The sequence below is a fragment of the Homo sapiens genome, chromosome 8 (assembly GCF_000001405.40).
Source record: "Homo sapiens chromosome 8, GRCh38.p14 Primary Assembly".
In the NCBI taxonomy this organism is placed as follows: Eukaryota; Metazoa; Chordata; class Mammalia; order Primates; family Hominidae; genus Homo; species Homo sapiens.
Window position 1 is genome coordinate 60184335 of NC_000008.11, and position 25693 is coordinate 60210027.

Here is a 25693-nt window from a genome sequence, read left to right on the forward strand (position 1 = left end):
AAATCTCAGTAGGAAAAGTGAGAGTATTTGATTTGAAATTTGAGCCACAAATTCGCTGCCTCCCTTCTTCTACCCCAGCTTAGTATGATTAAAACTCCACTCTTTGGGAAATATGATCAAGAAGATGGGTCTCCCTCTTCCCTCAGCTCCCAGCCAAGGGATACTAATGGGTTGCAAGAGGCTAAATCTCTTGGGGCTGTGACCCAGAGGTCATGAGCCCTTTTCCTTTACCCAATCCCCACTAACAGAGCAGAAGTTCTATCTCTAATCCTGCAAAAGGGCCCAAATATAATTGAATCAGATGTGGAGCAATTTATGCCCCACGGCATTGCCAAAAACAATAGAATAATTAGCTAGCAATTAGTGGAACCTAACAGGTAGTTGTAATACCAATGGAAGCAAAGAGCTAGGCAGAGAAATCAAGGAAAGACACAGAGAGAGCCCTACTAACTTACTGTCATCCCAGAGTGACTGTGTACATGCCCAGGGCAGTGCTCTCTGAGAAACCACATTATAGGGTTCACACTACAAGAGTAACAGACTTAATTAAAATAGTACAGCCGCTGGGTGCGGTGGCTCACGCCTGCAATCCCAGCACTTTGGGAGGCCGAGGTGGGTGGATCACGAGGTCAGGAGTTCAAGACCAGTCTGGCCAACATGGTGAAACCATGTCTCTACTAAAAATACAAAAATATTAGCTGGGCGCGATGGCAGGCACCTGTAATGCCAGCTACTTGGGAGGCTGAGGCAGGAGAAAACCCAGGTAGAGGAGGTTGCAGTGAGCTGAGATCCTGCCACTGCACTCCAGCCTGGGCAACAAAGTGAGACTCCATCTCAAAAATGAATAAATAAATAAATAAATAAATAAATAAATAAAATAAAATAGTACAGCCAAGTCACTGAACAAATAAACAATCAAAAACAACAAAAGCCCCAGAGGGGTGGTGTAAGATGGGGCAAAAATGAACAGAAGATCAGAGAAATATGAGACTCTATTAAGTGCATTAATACATGCATAATGGGAGTACCAGAAGAAAAGGAGAGAGAAAAAGAAGTGGAAATGAATAGTCAAGGAAATAATGGCTCAAACATCCCAAATTTAATATTTTTCTTAAAAAAAATCATTCATCTACATACCCAAGAAGCTCAACAAATTCCAAGCAGAATAAATACAGACTCACACCCAGATACATCATAGTACGAAATCTGGGGCAGGGGGGAAACCATTTGTTTTTGAAAGCAGAAACAGAAAAACGATTTGTCTTGTAGAAGGAAACCTCATTAAGCTTTATAGCTGGCATCTCAGCAGATGCTGAGAAAACAAAAACAGAAACAGAAACTTTTCACCAGGAGTTTTATATTTAGCAAAACTATCTCAAAGAAGGTAAAATAAAGATAGCCCATATAAACAAAAACTAAAGATTTGTCCCTATCAGATTTGCCTTATATAAAAATATATTAAAAAAAGGACTTCTGCCTGGAATGAAGTGACCCCAGATACTAATTTGAATCCATTCCAAAAAAAAAAGGGCACTGGTAAATGTAATTATGTAATTATGAAAGACAGTATAAATGCATTTCTTCCTTCTCTTAAAGAGCAATTGTATAAAATATCATGTAATTATGCTTTAGACCCAGAACATATACAAATGTGACATATTTGACAATGACAACACAAAGGAGGTAAATAAGAACAAAGTAGTACTGGAGTAAGAAATCACACCAGATGGTGACTCAAATTTACAAGACAAAATGAACATAACCAGAAATGGTAAATTAAAAGCTTACTAGAAGAAACTCTATAAATATAATTTGTTCTCAAGTCTCTGCTTGCTTAATATACATACAATTACAGGAAAAATATAACAATGTATTGTTGGGCTTACAGCATGTATAGATGTAATATGTATAACAATAATAGCACAAAAAGGGAGAAGAGAGTTCAGAGCTATTTAGTAGTAACTAAATAACTCACTGTAATAAAGTTATTATAAATCTGAAATAGATTCTGATAAATTAACAAGTATATGATATGCCCTTTAGCAACCACTGTGAAAATATACTCAAAAAAATGAAAAAAATAATTAAAGCAATTGAAATATACTAGAAAATATTCACCTAATTAAAAAAAAAGTAATAGAGGAGGAATAAAGGAACAACAACAAAAAGATACAAGACATGTGGAAAACAAAAAGTAAAATGGCAGACACAAATCCAACTATATAAACAATAACATTAAGTGCAAATGGGTTAAATAATCCAACCAAAAGGCAGAGAGACTGTCAGACTGGATTTCAAAAAAAAACAAGATCCAACTATAAGTTGGAGACACACTTTAGATTCAAAAATATAAATAAGTTGAAAGTGAAAAGATGAAAAAAGATACATCATACAAATAGCAACTATAAGAAAGCTGGGGCAGCTATATTAATATCTGACAAAGTATATATTAAAATAAAAAAATGTTACTAGAGATAAAGAAGGACAAAAGTCCCAAAATGAATGTAGAAAAAAACTGACAGAATTGAAGGAAGAGATTATTCAACAACAGTCAGAGAATTCAATACACTACTTTCATAATAGACAGAAATAGGCATATCAACAAGGAAATAGAAGACTTGAACAACACAACAGGCCAACACTATAGACCTAACAGCCATCTATCTATAGAACACAGCATCCAACAACAGTACAATACATACTCTTAAGTACACATGGATTATTCTGCAGGATAAACCATATGCTAAGCCAGAAAGCAAACCTCGATAAATTTAAGACTGAGATCATATAAAGTATGTTTTCTGATCACAACAGAAAAAAATTATAAATCAATAACAAATTTGGGAATTCATAAATATGTGGAAATTAAACAATGTACTCCTAAATAACCATTGCATCAAAAAGAAATTAAAAGGCAAAGTATTTTCTAATACCTTGAGATGAATGAAAACAAAAACATGGCATACCAAAACTTATTGGATGCAGCTAAAGCAATGCTCAGAGGAAAATTTATAACTGTTAATGCCTTTATTCAAAAAAGAATTCAAATCAATAACCTAACCTTCCACCTTAAAATACTGGAAAAGACACAAACTAAATACAAAGCAAGCAGAAGTTAGTCTGCTTTCTTACTAATCTTACTATTTTGTAAGATTTGAGCAGAGTTTGATGACATAGAGAATACAAACACAATAGAGAAAACCCCAAAATCCACTTTGGCTCCTTGAAAAAAATCAATAAAATTGACAAGCCTTCAGCTAAACTAACCAACAAAAAAAGAGTAAACTCAAATTATCTTAATTGGCAAACCTTCTGACAACAGTATTACTTTACACACCATCAGGTACGTTAGTTACCATGAATCAGAGGCACTTACATGTGTATAAGCTACATGAAAAATCATTTCACTTTGTTGCCTTATTAAATTGTTTCATAAACAAAATGCACCCTAAATTAAATTTCAAGATCTATGACATTTGTCATTAATTCTCCCCTTTTTCTTTGGGAGATTCCTGCCCCAATTACAGGGTCCATCACATAGGTTTTACTTTCTTTCCTATCACACCATCAAAACAGATTTGAGATTAGTTGTTGTGCTTTCGTTTACTGACAAACTACCTTTCAAATTCATTCCTACAAAAGCGTATTATAAACAGTATTCATATTCTGAATCTGAGGTAACTAACTGTGGAATTAAAGGATTTTCCATATAAAGAATATTATGCCTCCAAACAATGTCACCAATGGACACCATGATCTGAACCAAGTAGTTCATTTCAGTCTTTTACTCAGAAAATATACAGTAAATAAATTCAAATTGCTTCAATATACAGACATAAACACACATACACACACACCTGTGAAGGGTGAAGTCTGAACAACTAGATGTTATCCTGAAAGTCATTTAATTACTATTTGTTATTGTATTTGTTTATTTTGTGTATTTCAGGGAAAGATGAAAGAAGATTGCAAGAAGCATCAGAAGTCTAGTTCAAGAACAATCCCTGACTGTTCAGCACCAACCCGGTCAGGAGTGGAGAGGCTGGTACCTGTGCAGTGTTTTGTTCCAGGAATGCCATATGAATGGCCTCTCATTTATGGAAGGCTTCAGATCTAGTCTTTTGATGTTAATTACAAATAAGGCTGCACGTGTGCAGCCAATGTTTGGCATGTGAGTGGTAACAGTGCTAGATGTAAATATTTTTGTCACAGTTTTGTAACCATGCTTCACCGTTTCCTCATTGTTGGACACTAGGAACTGTTATACACAAGGGAAGTCCAGGACCTCTCTCCGCTTTCAGAGGCACTGCCTGGTGCTGACCCCATGTGATCCAGGGCTACCAACAGATCTCAACCCTTAGCAAGCCTCAACTTTTCCACACATTGCCATAACCCTAGTCCTTTCTCTTGCTGCCCAAGAATACATGATGAACTTTCTTTGCTTGAATTTCAGGGATATCTGGTGTGATTTTCATTTGTATTTAATGCTTCCATTATTACCGTCTCTACTCAACACATCTAAAAACTCTGAACATATACTTATTCCACCTGTCTTCTATTTCTATGACTTAGATATTCTGCATCACAAAATCCCTCCAAACTGGGACTATGTTTTTGAAGTCATTCATTTTACAATTATAACAACAATAACAATAATATTTATTGTTTGCTTTGTGCCAGGTACTCTACTGCTTTACATAAATTATCTCATTCTGTCACATCTAACGGCAACTAAGTATACGCTTACATCTGCTAGTGGCACCTAAAATAAGGATATTGTTGGTCATCTTTAAAGAAATGTCTTAACATACCAAAGTAGTGGAATCAATAGAATAAAATATTTAAGTCTTACAAAGCGTACGACACTAAAGTAATATAGGATACCACTAAATTTATATTTCTATGTATGGAAAGTAAAGCTATTCCTGGTACATGGTGCTGACCTTCTTTTTATCCTATTTCTTACACCTTTCTCAAATTCCTATTAAACCACAGCTTCGAATATGTCAAATAAATAAATTTGATCCATACATTCAGTTAAATCCTTCAACTATGTAGTAATACCTAAAGTGAGTATTATGTTGCTGCATTAATGCCAAAAAATGTTTCCCATGGCAATCCAGCCTAATATTAATTGTGGTATGGGTGCTGAAAAAATAAAATGAGACATAATTTTACTAATCATTCACTTTGCATTTTGAAGCTCTATGCTGTTCTTAATCAAAACTCTTATTTTATTATCAAGAATTACACTAGTTCTAAAATGAGTGAATTTTCTGTTGGAGACAGGAAATGAAGAACTACTAACACCGGGAATGTATTTTTCCTTTCTCAATATTAACACATGATATATATTCATATTAATAACAACTCTGGAAACTAGTTTCATTCCTTCTACACATAAGCAATAAACAGTATGTGCAACTATGAATCCTAGCAGCAGTAATGTGGATATATAATATAGGGTTTCTTTGGAATATACAGCCATTTCTAATATTTCATTTCAGCAAGTGTACAGGCAACCATCACAGATGTCCATCAAAGCTGGATTAGATGAAGACAAACAACGCAGGCTTTGAGGATAAACTGAAGGTGCAGCTCAAAAGTTTCCTTTTCTTATCCAAGGGCATTATAGGACCATTGTCTTCCTCCTTCAGGCAAAAAAAAAAAAAAAATGAATCAATTATGTTACTGATATTCTTCCACAGCAGACTGAAAAGTCTTTTTACAGTACAAGAGATAGTAAAAACTAAAAATTTCATAAGAAAATGTGGAAATTTCAAAAATATCTTTGTGCTCAAGTTTGTTATCTCTGCAATTTTTCCACAAAGTTTACCATAATTTTATTTCTATGGCAGACCTATTAATGCAGGATTTCACAGAAGCAAATACTTTCATCCAAAATAAATAATGCTTGAACTATTTTACAAACAAAAAATATGTATATCATGTCAAATAATAAAAATAAAGCTTTAAGTTCTTGTCATTCATTTCACATATAATAATCACAGATGGATGGTAGCTCAAGAGCACACAGACCCCTTCATTCCTAATTCCCAAATGACTTACAATTCTATTAAATAAATAATAAATGCAGAATATATATATATATATATATATATATATATATATATATATATATGACAATAGTACTTGTTTGAGATAACAAATAATGTGCTTCTCATATAGGAAAACAACATCAGCTAAGATTTTAGTTCAATGATACTGAACTTTTTGATGTTGAACTAGCATTGCTAGCAATGGCAGTGGGAAATTTGCAGTCTTATTAGTTGCCTAAGGTAGGTAATAAATCTCTATTAAAATTTAGAATGCATATACTTTTGGACTTGGAATTCTAGGAACTTATAATAGACATATAATTATCCAATCATACAAAGAGTCTATGTGTAAGGATATTCACTGCAAAAAGAAACTGGAAACAAACTAAATGGCCTCCTTCTGGGCAATGTCCTTTGGAAAAAAAGAAAAAATAATAAAACAAAATAGCCTCCTTTCCTTAATAAATTATATTACTATGCAGTATTTCAGAATTATGCATATATAGTATATATGTATCTGTGGACACACCTGCACACACACACACTATATATATATATATATATACACACACACATTTCTACATATGCATACATATATAAACATAGATACATACAAATATATAGAATGTCTGGAAAAATTTATTAGAAAATATTTATAATGCTGGGTTATGTATTTCCAAACTATATATTTTTTCCTGCTCCCACTCTACCAGGACCAAACTACATTTCAAATATGATAGTCACAATAAAATCTTTTTAAATTTTTTAATCTTTTTAAATTGACAGAAAATATTGTAGATATTTATCATGTCAACAAAATGTTTTAAAATATATACACATTGTGAAATGGCTAAATCGAGCTAATTAGCATGTGTATTACCTCACATAGTTAAAAATATACTTTTAGCACTTTTCAAGAAAGTGATATGAAATTGATTATCAAACTGTAAAATCACACCAATTCAGAGTTAATGGGGCCTAAAGGTCACAATGTATTTATTTTCTGCAAAAGGAAATAACCTGGGGTCCAGTGTTTCCCAAACTATGTTCCATAAAAAACAACAACCTGGTTGAAAAAACGAATCCATGTTAAAAAATACTGTATCAACTCTGTTAAAATATGGTTCTTTAATTCAAAGCCATTTCAGAGGCTCTAATATGCTGATGTGCATTGCAAATCTCCAAAAGGAGGATATTATTACATCCAGGATTCTCCAGATATATGTGAACAGTCACCTCTTGATTTAACACACATTTTGGAGGACCAGTGCGCTGCAGAACTCATTTGGGAGAGGCTGGTCTAGAAGCATGTATCCTAAGTTTATGAAATTTCATTATAAAGAATATATCCAGCCTTCTAAATATTAAGCTACCATGGCCCAAAACATGAAATAAAATATGGGTAGGTAAATACACAGTCATTCTAATCATACGAGGTCAGGTCTCAAGCCAAAGCAGAATTTAACATTTAGTATACATCCACAGTGCAACAGATGCACATACATGTTGGTGTCCTATTCATTTTTGAAGCTCTCAGGGCATGATTCAGGGGGTTCTTGGTAAATGCTGAATGAATTCTAATTTACCTACGTGTAGAATCTGCTGGTGAATTTGCACACTCACTCAGTTAAAATCTCCCTCACATGGGGAAACTCAATACCCTATGCTATTGAGCTTTTCTTACTTATATATTTTTCAAAGAAATGACACCCACCTATGCCAAGATCATATGATGATGATCTTATTAGCTTTACCTGCCTCAAAAATGTACACTTGATCTTGTTTACTGCAAATACCAGATTAACTGAAAAAATGTTTCAATGAAATCACAATCTGGGGTATGGATTTGGAATGAGGGAGAACCAAGTCCAAATCCCAGCTCTTCTATCCAATTTGCTGTAAGATTTTAGGCAATTTACTTGCCCCTTCTGAGACTCAGACAATATCTACTTCTTAGGGAATGTGTGGGACTGTAATGACAGCAGATATCATGTGCTGAGCATAGTACTATAAGTAATAATTTTGGTTGATTTTAAAATCATCTCACTAGCTAAAAATTAAACTACAATACTGTGCTCCAACATAAATGTGAAGTATGGCCCATTATGTTTATGCCATGTGTTGGAAGTTTACTTTTCAGTGTTTTAGAGAAAGTTTTCATAGGATAAAGTAATGCTTGGTCTCATCTGTTCCGTATTCCCAAGCTCCAGCCCAACACCTGACCCAAAGCACTCAGAAAATGTGTGTGTGCATGCATAAATAAGTGCAACAAAATGACAGTAGCAATTGCTAATATTATTTATATCAAAATTATGCATGCATATAAAGGCTTAAAGTTTTTAAATGTTTGTTATGAAACTATCAGTCCCTTGTCCTATGTGTCACCAATTTCCTTCTCCTTAACTCTTTTAGCTGATTATTTTAACACTAGAGAGCTAAATGGCATGATTGTATTGCTACCTTTCAATTTTGTTTCAGTATTATGTATAAATTTTTCCTATGGAGAATGAAGATTTGACCCTCTTTCCTCCTGTCAACATCATGCACACACACACACACACACACACACACACACACACACACCCCACCCCATATGAACCCTTCCCATCTTCCCATCACCCCATCCTCCAAATATGGCTATATAGTAAATCTGGTTGAATCAATTATGCAACTTCTATTATTGTAATGATGTAAAAGTATTCAGAGGTGAACTACATGTGTTAATTTTTCTTTCCTGCACAACATTTTGTTTTCTCTGGAGTGATAAATACCTTGGGTTTTTCCACCTAAGTGTTCTACGTGCTCATAACTGATTCAATGCACAAATACCTACCCATTGCCTAGCTCTCCTCTCAAGAAGTGAAGATATATCATGCATTGTATCAACTTCACCATTCCTGAAGAAAGCTCATCTAGAACCTTCTCACCTGCTCACATCTGGACTGACTGCCTGGTTTGCCTATGATCTCATTCTACTGTCATTCTGGCATTTATTCATCCCCTTGGTTTTTCTCCTTTGCTGGCTCTCCTGTTTCGTGGATCCCACATCTTTTTCCTTAGCTTACTCCATTTTGGTGTGGCAATATCAAGTAGCTTCTGGGAAATAAATTTGTGGTGGCTTTGATATCTATAAATGACTACTGTAACCACACACTGGGTTAAAAGTTTGACTAGGTAAGGAATTTGGTGGGTTGTAATTTTCCCTCAGAATTCTGAAGGTCATGCTCACTGCCTTAGCTTCCAGCGTTGCTTTTGAGAAGTCTGGTATTCAAATTCCAGATTCCTTGATTTTGACATGTTTGTTGCTTTGGTTTTTGCCATTCTGGAATTTCTCCCTCCATGTTCTGAAGTTTCACAATGATGGTGTCTTGGTGTGAGTGTGTTTTGATCTACTGTGCTGGGAATTCAGTGGATTCTTTCCATTTGTAACTTTATGCTCACGAGTTCTGGGGAAATGCTTTGGATAATTTTGTTGCCTGATTCCTCTCCTCCACTTTCTGTGTTCTCTCTCTAGCTTATTACGTGGACGATAGACCTCTTAAACTGGTCCTCTAATTTGCTTACATTACTGTATTTTTCATCTTTTTGCCTTTTGCTGTAATTTCTGAGAATTTTCAATTCTGCCTTCTGATTCATCTGTAGAAGTTCTCATTTCTGCTATCATGCTTTCAGTTTCCAAAAGCTCTGTTTTCTAAATATTCCTTTCTTAATAGCACCCTGTTTTTTTTGTGAATGCAATTTCTTTCCTTACCTCTCCAAATATATGAGTGACAACTTCTTGACAGTTTTTCTCTTCTTACAAAGTATTTATGTCTTTTAACTCACTTTATTGTCTGATTTGGGTTCTTTCATTTACAGTTCTTCTTCAAATATCTGTAACTGTTCATATCTGGGACTGGCAAACAACCACTACAACAAAACCAGAGTGGAGGCGGAGGGCACCGTGGAGGCCTCTTTATTACACCATCACCACTGGATAAGCCCGTTGGTCCACTTCTGCAGAGAAGTCACCTGGGCTGGTCAGACCCTCCCCAGAAGATACTTCCAGCTTCATCTGGAGAGTAGGGGCCTTTCTGCCAGTGTATGGGAGGATGACATGAGGTCTGAGGATGTTATTTACTCACTCAATTGTGTCTGTGTCCCCAAGTACAGAGTCTCTCTCTTAATCATCTCCAGAAGACAAGTATCTCCAGTCCACCAAGGCTTTGGAGGGGGCTGAGAGATTAAGTGCTTCTTAAATAGCTTTCAACCAATACAGATGTCTTTAGCCTCCTTTTACTCCAGCTTCCAGATGATGTCTGTTGCCACCAATTCCTGGGAATTTGAGAGATTCTATCATGCGAACGGGTTTGTTCCTCACATCTGCTAAATCTGTTACAAGACCATCTGCTTCCAGCTTCCAAAGTATTGTGGCTGTTGTCTCCTCTCTTGCTTCTGTATCCTTGTGAGGCAATGCACTTAAAAAAAAATCTCTTTCCTGTTATTTTAATGCAGTCTGTGGTGGAAACAAAATTAGTTGCCTACCTTCAATTGATGGTCATTATTTGAAATATAAGTTCATTTTTATGCCTTTGTGTATTTTCTAAAGTTCCTACAATAACTACATTAGTTAGTAATCAGAATACAAATTTATTTGGTAAAACCACCTAAAGAAGTAACACTTTGAATATATGAAGTTAAGGCTGAACTCCTCCCTTTGGGATTTTCTCCAAATATTCATTTATCTACATCTAAATAATAAGGAAGCTTACTCATAAAGAGAAATTTTCTATTATACAATGATCAGTGTTCATAATGATGACCTCAAAGTATGGCCACATCCTAAGAAGTCTTCTAAATCATCAGCTATTTCAATATAGTTATAGCAGATGCCATCTTTCACATGACTTTTTCTTAACCTTGAATTATCTTTTATGAAGAGGCCCAAGGGAATGAGTGCAAAGCAAATCACTACTGGAGAATTTCCTGAAAAGCTACCAAAAATTTAAAAATCACATGTTCACACACATCTTACTCCTCAGAGGTTGCTGCAGGTCACAGTACTGATGTAAGTTCCAGTGATTTTGGCTCAGCTCATTGATAACTAACTAAAGTATCCCTCTTTAAGTACAGTAATTCAGTGTAACATCTCCAAAATAGAGTCTTTTAAGAAACAGCAATATGCTAGAAATAAGAACTCTCCTCTTCAGAGGGGGCTCTTTGTCCTGTACACTAGTGGAACACTTCCTCAGGCAGTTTGTACATGCTGCTCTGACCTGGAGTTAGCTGTGTGTCTGATTTACCCATGACACTAGGCTGTGAGCTATGTCAGGGGAGAGCTGATCACTGGTTATGTTTATATTTTCACTCAGCCCCTAGAATACTGCCATACACCAAACAGAGGGTTAAAAATAAATGCCCTTCCATTACAAGCAACGGCATATAGACACCTTCTTTTTCAACATTCTCACTCATGACAGCATCGGGTCATGAGAGAAGGAAACAGAGGAAGAGGTCAGGAGTGTCAAACACTTTTGAAGAGTCAAAAGAGAAGAGGGAAACATGCCACTGGATTTGGAAACAGAAATCCAAGCACATGAGACATTTTTAAAAGGGTGCCAGATATTACTGTTAATTATTTAACATTATTCTGGAGTACTAGATAATGAAATGAAATAAAATCAGAAAGAAGGAGATAAAACTGTCATGATCGTTGGGTGTTATCAGTGTCTATCTGGAAAACTCAAAATAATCAGCGGAAATCTTACCGAAAACTATATAAAGGTTAATAAGCAAGCCAGGGACAAATCTAATCCATTGTTTTTTCAATAAAAAAATTAAACAATGGAAAAATCTATAGCTAGTCAAAATCTATAATGATAATAATAGTAATTGCTCACATTTAATGCTAATCCTCCACAAAGCACTGTGATGTGCATTTTACCATAGCTCATGAAATCCTCACATCCCTGGGAGGTTATAACTCTTACTATATCCACTTCATAGATGAGGAAACTAGGGCTGAAAGAGAATCAATAGTTTGCCCAAGTTGTGGAACAGCAAATAGAGGTGCTGTGTTCCCCAAAAAGCCATACTCAAGCTGACTCCAGAGACCAAATATGCAAGTTGGAGTAAATATTGTGAGAACAGAGAATTATAAAATGCATGACAGACATAAAAAAACTTTAATAAGCATAGACCTATGCATTTTTCCTTGATATAAAGATTCAATATTGTAAGGTATTAATTCTCCTTAATCACTCTATAAATACAATGCAAATTAAAAATCCTAATAGGATTCCTTTTTCTCTTTTATTTTTGTCTTTCATTTTCTTTTTCTCAACCTCTCTTTCTTTTGCTCTTTATTTCTATCCTTCTGATAAAATGATTTTATGGTTTATCTGAAAAAATTAAACATGTAAAAATAGCCAGAAAAATCCTGCAGAAGATACTAGTAAAGAGGGTCTTGTCTGGCCAAACACTGAAATATACACTAATGCCACATACATTGTGGTCGATGCACATGAATACACAGATAAATGGAACAGAATAGGGAAGTCAAGAATAGAACCAAGTATTTACAGGACATGATATAATGTAAGGAGCCATTTTTAATGAGATTGGCAAGGATGAAAAATTTTAAATATTCAACACTGGTGAAGGTGAAAAGTGTAATCTGACACATAGTTACTGGGAACATAAACATAGAACTCTTGGGAAAAGCAATCTGCATATGGATTACAATAAAACTCTTTGACCTAGTAATCTCATTTCTAAGAATTTTTTAAGGAAATGGGTAAGTTAACCACAGTATTATTGATGACAGCTCATCAAATTTTGGCATATACTTAAAAGCAATGTATGTAAAACCATTTTAAAAATAACTATGCAATGACATGAAAAGATATATCATCAAGCTGATTGAAAAATAGCATGCACAGTATAATCTCATAAGATACATTACATATATATGTAACCATATGAGACACATATATAAAGAGAGGTCAATGGACAATCATAATGATAAAGGTAACATTTTTGAATCCTTACACTGTGGACAAAAAAAAAAATGTTAAGCACTTTAATTGCATTATCTCATTGTTATCTTCACAACCACCCTACGAGGTAAATACCACTATAGCCTTCTTTTAAGTGATGAAACAAGAGACAGTTATCAGTTAACGTTTTCAAGGTCACACAACTAATTACTGGTGGAATCTGAATGAAACCTGAGCCATCTCCACTGTGCTCCAGGGCCTCCATATCCATCACAACCCCCAGTGCTGGGGATGCTATCACTAAGAGGAGAGTTTGAGAGACGTTTGCTGCTGCTCCATTTTATTCTGTACTGTTTGAATATTCTACCATGAACATGTGCTATATATGTGGAGACAAGGAAACAAAAAGCAAACAGAGAAATCAAAGGTGACCTTTGCTACAGCAGTTTCAATAGGTAGGAGATGTAAACTGAAGAGTAAAAAGATGAGAAAGAGATGTAGAATATATTGAACAATTGGTTAAAAAAATGGCAAAAATGCCTTCTATAAAATACCCAATCAACAGTGCAAGCACAAATTAGCATAACCCTTGTAGAGGGTACTTCAGCAAATATGTTATGAAAAAATGAAAACATATGGTTCTTTCTTCCCAGGAATGTCATTCCTAGGAATTTATCTACAAGAGATAAGAAGGCAAAAGATAAACACAGTGCATAATGTTCTGCACTTTGCTGTTGTGAAATGTGGTGTCGTGAAAAGAGCTCAGCATTGGGAGTGGGGCCCACTTAGGTCTGAATTCTTGCTCTGCACTTTACTGGCTGTGACCTTTAGCAAGTTACTCAACGCATCTCAGCCTCAGTTTCTTTATCTCTAAAATGAAAAATAAAAATACCGGTCTCATAGGATTGTTACGAGGACTAAATGAGACAAAATACAGCATCATGTCTGAAATATTAAAAAGCAGTTGTTCTTTTTGTTCCCATCACTCACTAATATGTGTAACTTAGAATGAATAAATAAGCTTTGATCAAAACTCAAGGATAAATCATAGAAGTTGGTAATATTATAAAACGCTAAACTTAGCTTTTAAAGTTCAGAAGTAAACCTGTGTTAGGATACTTTGACACTTTCTCCATCTCAATTAGCACCAAACTAATTAGCAAAACTGTTTTACACACTACAGTGAGTCACATTTTTCTTCCTTCTTCTCTAATCCCTGGTGTGTTGTAAGGGTGATTGACTATCTAATTACTTCTTAATTGAATGCACATATTATACATTTTTCACTAGTTCGAGCTTAATGTTTTTAGTTCAGAAATCAAAGTCAATGAAATTAAGTTGAATTGGGATTTGGGCAACTATTATAATGAGAGAAGGTTTGTATTATATCTAATTATAAGTAAATGTGTATTTTAGCCTTATTTCCTATGGAAATATTTCAGGTACAGGAATGTTCCATACACAACTAATTTAGATGATTAATAACACTGTTATTCTTATTTACCATCCTTTATTCCTCGTTACAATGATTTTATTGCTAAGATCCGCTAAATATAATTATTATTTAAAGAAAAGATGCCATTAGAGAAACATTGGTTGTATCTATACTAAAATCCGAATGAACATTCATACCTGCAAAAAACTGCGTTAAGTTTCTCTGCAACATAAAGGTTGCAGGAATTTTCACAGGCTGCTAACAAAAGGAAAAAAAAATCTTGGAATGCTTCAAATACAACCAGTTATATTCATGAAAAAAATGTTTATTTACAAAAAACTAAAAATATTACCAACAAAATAGTATTCCAACTCAGTTAACACTTTACAGGTAGAATATCTCATAAAAGATTTTTTTTCCCTTTGGGCATTAGGCAGGAGTAAATGCTGAAGGAGATATTATCAGACAACAAAGGTTTATTGCTTCGGTTTTTTTCTATGTATGCGGAGTAACCATCTGGAATAATTTAGTTGAAGACCTCTTCAGGCAAAAACTAGATTAAAGAACTTCTTGAGATACAATTCCACTCCGTGCTCCTAAGATGTCTCTGAAAATATGTTCTCTGGACAAGCCCTAAAGACATTTATGAGTTCCTAATAAAACTCATAAAAGAATGAGCAATAAGAATTCAGAGCAATAAAAGCAGTAAGAACTCAGAGATTCTGAAGGGGTTTTAAGAAGCACTGAAATGGAGAACAGACCCATCTGAAACCAATGTGGTTTTACAGTTTTAACAATTAATTTATTACCTGGTGCTACCTGGTGGCAAACTTCTTGACTGGAGAAATCTCCATATTATCCAATAAATATTTCAGATTCTGGGCATTATCTAGATTATTTTAGATAATCTGGGCATTATCTAGTACTGGGCATTATCTAGATTATTTTAGCTTTGTATGTAATGAAAACAAGTTTTAACTGCAATGTTTAAGTAAAACTGAAGTAGCCCAAAGGATGAGGCCAATCTATATGTACCAACATAAAAATATCTCAAAGACCTTTAGTTAAAATGAAAATTTTTGTTTCTAGTATATTCTTGTTAAAAATATTTTTAAATAGCATGTTTCTCACCCTTCTGAGGGTTGTCAGTGTTTACCTTTCTGTTACATGGTTTCTTCTCTAACCAGAACTCCTATGTTAAAATCTTAACCACTAAGGTGATGAGGTGAAGCCTTAGAGAGGTGATTATATTGATCATGTGGGCAGAGGCCTAGTGATTGGGATTACTGCCCTTATAAAAGAGACCCCAGAAAACCAGTAGGCCCCTTCTACCATGTGAGGACACAGTGAGAAGGCACCATTCTACAAAACAAGAAGTGGGGCCTCACCAGATACCAAACCTGCTGGTGCCTTGATCTTGGACTTCCTAGCCTCTAGAACTGTGAGAAATAAATTTCTGTTGCTTAGATGTTAGTTTATGGTATTTTGTTATAGAGGATCAAATGGAAGACATGTAACCCTTTCCCTTCTTCGGGAGATGGCTTCTACCCCCAATAAGGGGGTCTGGGTAAATTACTCCACACTACCATAATCCTTTCTTCACCCTTATGTAATTTCATTTCCATGCTGAGATTTTAGATTCTCTAGTTTTTGCCATATGTAAGCAATTTGCCATACATAAGCATCAGAACCATAACCTATATATAAATGAGATAAAAATAATAACAAGAAGGTAAATCAGGAGACGTCAGTAATTTTATCATGTTTCTGTGTTTCCTCAATAATTGCTAACACCTAGCTACATATCAGTAGATCTAATGTAGATCAGTTTTCCAGGGCCCATTTTTAAAAGACTTCATATAAATAGCTCAGATATTTAAATAAAATGCCAATAATACTACCTTATTTTGTGGATGACAATAACTAACCACCACAATCCTCCCCATCAATTCCATCACTCTCACTGTGCTCAGATGTGGATTCAGAATCCTTCTCAACACTCTCCAGACAGCTGGTACAAATCAACCAGAGCTGGCATGCAAGTTTGAGTGCTATAGGTCTTCTTGTCTTTTATTATTTTATATATTTTTATTTAATCTTGTATTTATTATCTTGTATTTAATCTTGCCATAACAATCCTATGTAGAAGAAAGGGGAGATGCTCTTGCAACAGTCATGAGGAGATGACGCTAACTTTATGGGTTGTGATGACAAAGATGGAAACACATAGATGGCTTTGAGAGCTATCAGAAGGCAAATCTGCAGAACTTGATAAAACGGAAATATGGGGTAAGGTAAAGAAGAGAGGTGTCATGCACGGCTCACGTTTCAAAGAAAACTGGAAGAGAGGCAGGTCTGTGAAGGAAGACCATAAATTCAATATTGTATATGTTGAGTTTGAGATGTCTTTGACACATCTAAAAGAAAAGTTCTACAGACAGCTGGGCATTCAATTCTAGAAGTTAATTAAAAGACCTAGTCTAGGAATGTAAATGAGTCATGTGTTGTTAGTGGTGACAGGCTGTGAGAATGGATGAGTTCACCTACAGAGACAGCCCCAAAGGCTGAACCATGAGGACTCCAACATTAAGTGGACTCCAACATTAAGTAGCCTCCTAAAAGAACATTCGTGTAGCATGCAGAGGATGAAAGGTGGTGCAGGTAGAAAGAAAACTGGGTATATGGACACCAAAATAAGAACGTGGCAAGAAGGCAGGCAGTATCAGAACCTGCTGAGAGATCCAGTAAAATGAGGTCTAAAAATGCCCCTTAAAAAATGTATCATTTTTTGGTGAGGAAAAAAATGAACATTCCTTTTGTTGCATCACTATATAACAATAAAATATCTAAAATATGAAAAAGACAACCTGCAGTCATACTTTCATAATTTCCAAATAATTCCAAGATAAATATGACGTTCACAGAAGTAAGTAAATACTTCCATTTAATTGACAAATATTTATTTGTAAGGTACTAGATGAGGCTCTAGATTGGTCAACTAGGTTTACTTCATTATTTCCTAACCTAGAAGTTTTAAATTTCGTGTTGTACTTTAATGCAACTATAATCATCTCCTTGAAAGCTGAAAGCTGTTCAGAATCAGAATTGACCAATATAACAAAATAAATATCTGAATTTTTAAGGGCATTATTTTTAAATGACTGTTTCCATCAGTTTCATTGGTTGTATAGTTTGATAGCTTTATGTACTTTGGGAAGACAAACTTTCTGGGACTCAGTTTCTTTTTTTTTTTTTTGAGATGGAGTCTCGCTCTGTCGCCCAGGTTGGAGTGCAGTGGCACGATCTCGGATCACTGCAAGCTCCACCTCCAGGGTTCACGCCATTTTCCTGCCTCAGCCTCCTGAGTAGCTGGGACTACAGGCGCCTGCCACCATTCCCAGCTAATTTTTTTTTTTTTTTGTATTTTTAGTAGAGATGGGGTTTCACCATGTTAGCCAGGATGCTCTTATCTCCTGACCTCATGATCCGCCTGCCTCAGCCTCACAAACTGCTGGGATTACAGGCATGAGCCACCACGACTGGCCAGGACTCAGTTTCTTTATTGATAAAATCTTCAAAAAGCAATGTCCATCTTGAAGAGTTGTTCTGAGGTGAAATGAGACATATATGAACCGCACCTCATAGTTCTTGGCACTCTATGGCACACTGCAATTTATTACAAACAAATTATTATTACTACTGGAGGGTTTCCATGAAGGGTTTGTTAGCCTTTAACTCAAGTATAAAATTTAAAAACTATTTTTTAATTTACACTTACTTCATGCTGTGTCTAAGATAGCTTAACAAGATCTCAGCACACATCCAGGATTCAACCTTCCATCCCTAAAGGGCATGTGGAGGAGAGGCTGGGGCATCTATGGGCTCTGGCCCCCACCTGTAGACTCTACCATACTCCCTATTTTAGGTCCTCCAAGATCACAACGAATGCTTTGGATCATTCCAAAGCACTTACCAAAACATATTCTGCAATCTCGTATTATTAGCTGGTTAAATAAATTTGTGAAATGCTGTATACTATACCATACCCTCTTGGAGTTCACATAGGTCCCTGGCATAGTAAAGATTCTCAGAAGTCTTGCATGAAGAAAACCTGCTTAATGAAGTATGTTACAAACTTGTTTGACTCTACTACGTAGACATTTATAGTCTCGTGGAGTAAGTAAAACTAAAACTGCTAAGTGCAGTAGAAAACAAAAAAAAATAATAATTTAAAACTAAACTAACATGGTACTAAACTCAGAAAGCAAAGAAGGATTAGTAAGGTCAGTTTACTTGGGAAAAAGACTTCATGGAGGTAAAACCTGGTCCTTCAAATATCAACAGCATTTAAACAGAAAACAGAGAGGAGAACATTCTAGACTTTAGGTTGGCAGATTTCTAGGAGTGACCCAAAAAAGGCAGACAGCTAAAACAAATTGTCAAGGTGCTAAGATTGGAGATAAAAAAAAGAAAAATGAGATGCTTACAAATAGAAAACTGAAGGTCAGGTAAAATTTTATTGAAAGAAAAAGGATAACTTCCCTGATTGTCACTACTCTTACACGGTCTAATATGAACTCTTGGTATCTGCCTAGTAACAATCCAGTTTTTAATAAAGTTTCAATTCCTTAACCCCTTATTTTAATCTGAATGAGGTAGACTTTTAGGCAAGTCTCTCAGTTTTTCCAATTGAAAAAATAGTAATCTCAGTATAAATCCTATTTTGATTCTATTTTCCCTCTATTTTTAAGATTTTTAATCATAATGAAATGCTGACATAAAAGCTTTATTTGATACTACTGCTTCTATAATACCCTCTTTTAAGAGGTACAGAAAATATTAAAACAAATTTATTCAATGCTTTTTTAAAAAAGTATCTCCTTATACTCCTGATTAAAGTATAGGTGATTTCCAATGATTTCTGCACTTGTTTTTTTAGCATTTTTAGTAATTTCCTTAGATGAATTTTTAAGCTTTATGTTTTCAGTTGGAGACTTACTAACAAAACCTAATTCATAAAAAAAATTCACTTCATTTTCCTCCTCATTTACCTGCTTCCTGTTCTCTCTGGTTTCTCTTTTCCATGATAAATTTAATAGAGACACAGGAAAGCATATTCATCATAAACCAGGGAACTATAATATCCAGTGCTCGAAGGGCCTTTGTGAGGTCTGTTGGAACATTTCCCCAATCCCTGTCCAGGCAGGTTCCCACCTAAACCACCTAGGAACCTCAAGTATTTAATGCCTTAGTCTTCCTCAAAAACCCACTCAAGATTTAAACCACCTACTTACAGGAAAGGTCTTTCTTGGAGCCTCTAGAAATAAATTCTTTCCTTAGCTAATTCAAAGCCTTTTGCTGATACTTGAAAGCCATTTTTTAATGTCCACTTTTGAGTATACATGAGGTAAAAGGCATGAAAGAACATGTTTAAATGACAAACTGGTCACAGTGATTTCCTTATGGAAAAATATATTCTTTAGGTTTAAAATCATGAAATCTACTGTATCTAGGGTATCAGAACATATTAACATTCGACATACAAGTTGGCCCATGACTGCAAAACATTCTTCCTCCCAAACACAATTTTGTTTTAATTCATAGTGGGAGGAAAAAATCATTCTGAAATTTTTATCCATGATAAATTATTAACATTTCTAAAACATAAAAAGGAAGAGATATATTTTAAAGCACGAATTATTTTCTTTGTTTAGTAATCTTGAAGAGAGCTCATACAGCTCTTGTATTTTTCATTGGTGGGTTAATAATTTTTATATCACATAATCAAAACATAATAGGTATTCTGAGCATCCTTGGTGTTTTGGCATTTTACTGAAATCATTTTGAGATCTGGTAGGAAATCCATTCCAGTTGGAGGAAATTCTATGAGATATAATAAATAGAAAACAGCTACATCTGTAGAGCCTTCAGTTCTAACCCTAATGCTGTGCACCATGTTAAATTATCAGAGGAGAGTCCAAGTTCTACTGACTGAAAATATGGCTTTGAGCTTTCCATTTAATCTGGAAGGATAATAGCTTTCACCTACTTGGTCATTCAGAGTGAACATTCTCACTTTCCTTTCCTCACACAGGCACCCCCTTCTCTATAATGCCTTACCCTCTTCTAACCTGTAACTCTTTTAGGTTATCAAAGAAGACTGATATGAAATTGATACTTGTTATAGCTTTATTAAAGCTAAGAAGACAATATTATTAACCGCAAAAGTACAAGTAGGGAAGAGTTCAACAGTCAAGGATAACTTCAAAGATCCCAAAAGAAAAATAAGGGCAAGTTTGACAATGGGACTATTTGGAGATGCTTGCTGAATAACCCCATTTTTCTGGCTTTGTTTCTTTTTTAACGTATTTAGGGCATTCTTATTTTTCCACATTTAAGGCAGAAAAAAAGAGAAACTAAAGAGCCGTGTGACATTGCTTTTTACAGAAAATAATTATAATTCATTATAGTTACTGTAAACATGTATACAGCTTAACAATATTTAGGTCACAAGCGAGACAGTCTTTGAGCGTCAGAACAGCCTTTTAAAAATGGGCTAACACTTTATGAAGTAAAAAGGCAAATAATCAAATAATCATTTTGCTGGAAGATGAGTACCAATGTCATGATACCAAAAGTAACAAGTAAACTGGACCTTAAACTTGTTATATCATTTGTTCATTGTTATTAAAATACATTTAGTTCTCCTGCATCATATAGAAAATTCAATGGGTAAAGGATCATTTAATATCAATAGGCACCCATAAATCTGAATTAGCACCGCTGAACCAAAGAATTTCCAGCACCTGGATGACTTACATACTAATTCTTTAAACAAGTATAATACAAAATCATAGTTCATACTTCTTAAATGGTAATATAAAAAGTCACAGATTACTCATGGGAATAATAAAGCTTGGTTATCAAAGTCTTCCAGGTGCCCAGACATGTCATTTTTTTAAAAATCTGTCATTTTAAGTCTAAAACTAAAGTTATTTCAGTAAAACATAGCTAAAATATATCTGAATTATTTTAAACATTTTTTAGAGAACAACTACCAGAGAAATGTCTTTTCCTTTTTAGTTCCAAGAGCTTAAATGAAACATTCATGCATTAAATTCAAAGTCTGACTGTCAAATCATTTCACTTTAATAAAAATTTGAATTACCTGCCTTAGGGCATTATTAAATATCAAATAAAAAGTACACACACATAAGTCTGATTCCCAATATAATTTTTATATAGAACTCTGACCAGATTTGTATTACACATTTCAAGATAAAAGTATTCATAAAAAAATGAAATAAGAATTAGTCACCTTAGAATTCCTGTACCATTCTTAGGAATTTGGGAGCAAATTATCCCCTTTAAGTAATCTCAGCCACCAAAGTAAGAACACAAATATATCTTCCTTTTAGAAATAGTACCTAAATTGTAATTAACTCAAAACTTTGAAAAACTACACATTATTCATCTATCATATAAAGAATATGAAGTATGTGAAATATACAAAATCTCATAAACAACATTTCTCTGTGTGTGTGTGTGCGCGTGTGTGTGTAAAAGAGAGAGAGAAAATAATAATAGTCATTTAGATATTTAGAGAATGGCAACTCTGGTCTAGGACAAGATACAAACCAAACATTCAAGGGAATAATCTCCCTTCATTAAAAGTATCATTTACAGGTATTGACATTCACAGGGAGTATACTAACTAAACCTAGACTGGAGAAATGCATAAATTCACGCTTTGCAACCCTCATCCCACCCCCGCTGCCTCTTGGCCTCTCCTGTGAACACATCCTTCCCTCTTCCTCTGCTCCTATCCATCTTCACTGCTGCTCTCCCACTCCTAGCTCCTGCCCCTTCATCATTAAATGGTAAGAGCAAGTCATGGGTACACAGCAGCTCTAAACCACCACCTCCTTCTTTCTTCCTTCCCATTGCAGCACAGAGAGTGCCCATCCTCTCAGCAAAAGCCAGTCTCCCTGTGTGCTTAGGATTTCATCCCTTTCAACTTTTCAGACTTCACTGCTCCAGCTCCTCCCAGAAGCAGTATCTTCAGCCTCTCTCCATCTACTTGCTCCTTTCCCACACCCCAGCATATAGACAAGTTCTATTTCTTTTGTTTAAAAAAGAAAAAAAAAAAGACTTCTTCAATCCCACCCCGTCTCTGTTGCTGCGGCCTCCTGCCCCACCCCAGCCCACCAAGGTGGCTGCGACCTGGAGTCTCCAGCTCCTCCCTTCCTATGGCCTTTAGCCTGCTGCAACCACATCCCTCCTTGATGTGTCACTCGACCGCCAGTGTGGCAAAACTCTCTAACCTCTGCCCATGTCGTGGTGAAGAAAAAGGGCTCTGCCAGTCAAGCTGCCTGGATCTCCTTCAGCTCCACTGCTCAATCACTGTATTACTTTGGCCCGTAACCTAACTTATCTGTGTCTTGGCTAACTTGTCTGTAAAGCCTCCCACAAGATTTTATGCACACTTAATTAAGTAACCCCATTAGATCCATCAGAACATTATATGAACATATACAATGTCTACACCCAATACGTCCCTATTTCAACCCAGACTTGTTTTCTGTTCTCTACTCTTGAAATGCTAATGACCTTCATGACCAGAGTCCGCTATTGCAGTTTGTGGTTGACAGGCATCTCTCACTCACTGTGCTGCAACTCAACTCTTTATCTTCAACCAAACAGGGCCTCCCCGCAGCTTTCCCACTGCCACTCAGTGGCACTCCATCCAGGGTTTCCAAAGTGTAAGACCCCGGAATTTATCTTTGACACTTCCATCTCCCTCCACCCCTCATCCAATTCATCACTAGCTATAACCTGCGATTTCTATTTCATATACATCAACTTCTCTCCACCTCCACTGTTCCTATTCTAGTGTCCAAGCCTCCGCATCTATCACCCTGGCTACCTGGCAGACTTCTTCGTTTTTTTGTTTTGTTTCATTTTGTTTGAGACACGATCTCAATCTGTCACCCAGGCTGGAGAACAGTGGTGTGATCTCAGCTGACTGCGGCCTCCACCTCCCAGGCTCAAGTGATCCTCCCACCTCAGCCTCCTGAATAGTTGGGACTACAAGCGTATGCCACCACACCCAGCTAATTTTTAAATTGTTTATAGAGATGAGATTTCGCTGCTTCCCTAGGTTCTATTCCAACAGATGCCTTCCCCTTGGGAAGCTGTGGTTTGCCAGTGATGTACAATGACCTATGCACTTAGGAAATTTACAAGGTAAATAAATAATCCAATATATAGTTTGTTTTATATTTTATCTCTTCCGTGTTTGTGATATTTTATTTTGTTAGTTCCTTAAGAGTAAGGAATACATACATTGAATTCTATATATTAAAATACATAGATTATGTTTCAATCAATAGTGTATCATATTCAGATAATTAATAAGTGCTTCTCAATTTATCATATAAAAGGCACTTCCATAGAAGAAGTATTTCAATGCATGCCAGATATGCTCCCTCCCCTGAGAAACAAGAGGATCAATTCTGCAGGAGACGAGAAGGGTCCACACTGAGGCTCACACGCTCCCCAAGTCCCCTCCTATGTGCTCCTTGGTCACTGGGACATGACTGGTGCTGCTTCACGGGGACAACATGGTAAGTTACTAAAGAGGTATGCATGCATGTCACTTTTTCTGGGCCTGAGGGTGTCTGTTCTTATGAAAGCCACCAAAACTTGGAATTAAAGGCTACTCTGATAGGAAAATATAATCATAGTTTTTCTTCAATACTGCATAAAATTAAAATACCTACTTGACCTGTAATTAACAGAGCTCAAGAATGTGTCATAAATTTTATCAAGATGAAGTACATACGCTTTTATTACTAAATTACCAGGATCACAATAAGTGTACCTTTGGTACGCTAGGTTTAAGTAGCTGTGCACCTCATTTTCCTTACTTAATCTGGACATACCCTCATGAAGACAGACTTGTTCCTGTCCTCTTTGGCTACTGAAATGCAGCTCTAATGACTCTGTCACTAAGAGGCTGAGTGGGCCGAAAGTTGTCTCCCAAAATCCCATCACAGCCTTCCACAAGTTCTGCCCCCTTAACATGTGTCCTCAGCCTTCGAAATTCTTCTATCTGAAAATAAAAGCAGAAGAAAATAGATTAATCAATTATCGGACATTAACAAGATTGGAGTTTCATAAATGACATGCATAAAATATGTATAAATTACAAGAATTATTGAAGAGAAAATTAAAATTAAGCTTCAAAAAGAAAAAAAACAGACTTAATTCTTCCAGACCTAAGACGTTAGAGAGGACCCTTTCAAGAAATGACAACAGAAGTAGACATATCAAGATCTCTGAACAACTCAAATAGATAAAGAAATCTGCTCCATTTGTTAATGTAAAAATGATACAGGCCGGGCACAGTGGCTCACGCCTGTAATCCCATCACTTTGGGTGGCCAAGGTGGGCAGGTCACAAGGTCAAGAGTTCAACAGCAGCCTGATCAACACGGTGAAACCCTGTCTCTACTAAAAATACAAAAATCAGCCAGGCTTGGTGGTGCACACCTGTAATCCCAGCTACTCAGGAGGCTGAGGCAGGAGAAATCACTTGAACCCATGAGGCGGAGGTTGCAGTGAGCCGAGATCACACCGTTGCACTCCAGCCTGAGTGACAGAGCCAGACTCCATCTCCAAAAAACAATGATACAAACCTCTCCCAAAAAGGTTTTATGCCTATCTATAGCATAATAAGAAAAAGTGAACAAATGAATGTGCTCTTAAATGCTTTCCAAGTACATTTTAATTAATGGATTCTTATGTTACTGTATGTAAACACTGATTAGATCTTAGATTTATCAGATAGATTCAAGGTTTCCTTTCATCAAAAGACTTTTGCCACTTTTCTAGCCCTCTGGAGAGCACAGGTCCAAAAAAATGATTTTTCAAAAGTCTGAGCCCAAATTCCTGTCTTTACAATATTGATTTTCAAGTTCATTTCCCTTTATTAGGTGGGCTCTCCAGGTCCCATGGCTTCCCCACTGTAAGTGAAAAGGTTCTCAGAGTCCTCAGGGACATTGCCCATCAGCCACCCTACAGTTTCTCTAAGAACCCAGAGCCTGCCAGACGTGACTCTCTGGGGAATACTAATGTTTAAGCAACAAGCAAAAGTGATGAGCATTCCCCAGGATTATTCCCATCTATCAATTTAACTACAGGGTTCATTGTCTGTTAATT

General features: G+C 35.8%; 1 protein-coding gene across 5 annotated transcripts in view; it reads right to left on the bottom strand.

The window, feature by feature from the left end:
- Positions 1078–25693, bottom strand: part of CA8 (carbonic anhydrase 8) — a 95989-nt gene continuing 71373 nt past the window's right edge. For 3 of the 5 annotated variants that reach the window (NR_135821.2, NM_001321839.2, NM_004056.6), the window contains 2 exons: positions 24416–24585; positions 1078–5651 (listed from right to left, as the gene is read on the bottom strand). Coding sequence is in view for 4 of the 5 variants with exons in the window: in NM_001321839.2 (NP_001308768.1) it covers positions 24451–24585 (135 nt within the window). In the remaining variant the exon portion in view is untranslated. Of the gene's footprint in view, positions 5652–21688; positions 24586–25693 lie in introns of those variants that run through there. The other 2 variants (NM_001321837.2, NM_001321838.2) reach the window with 1 other exon arrangement.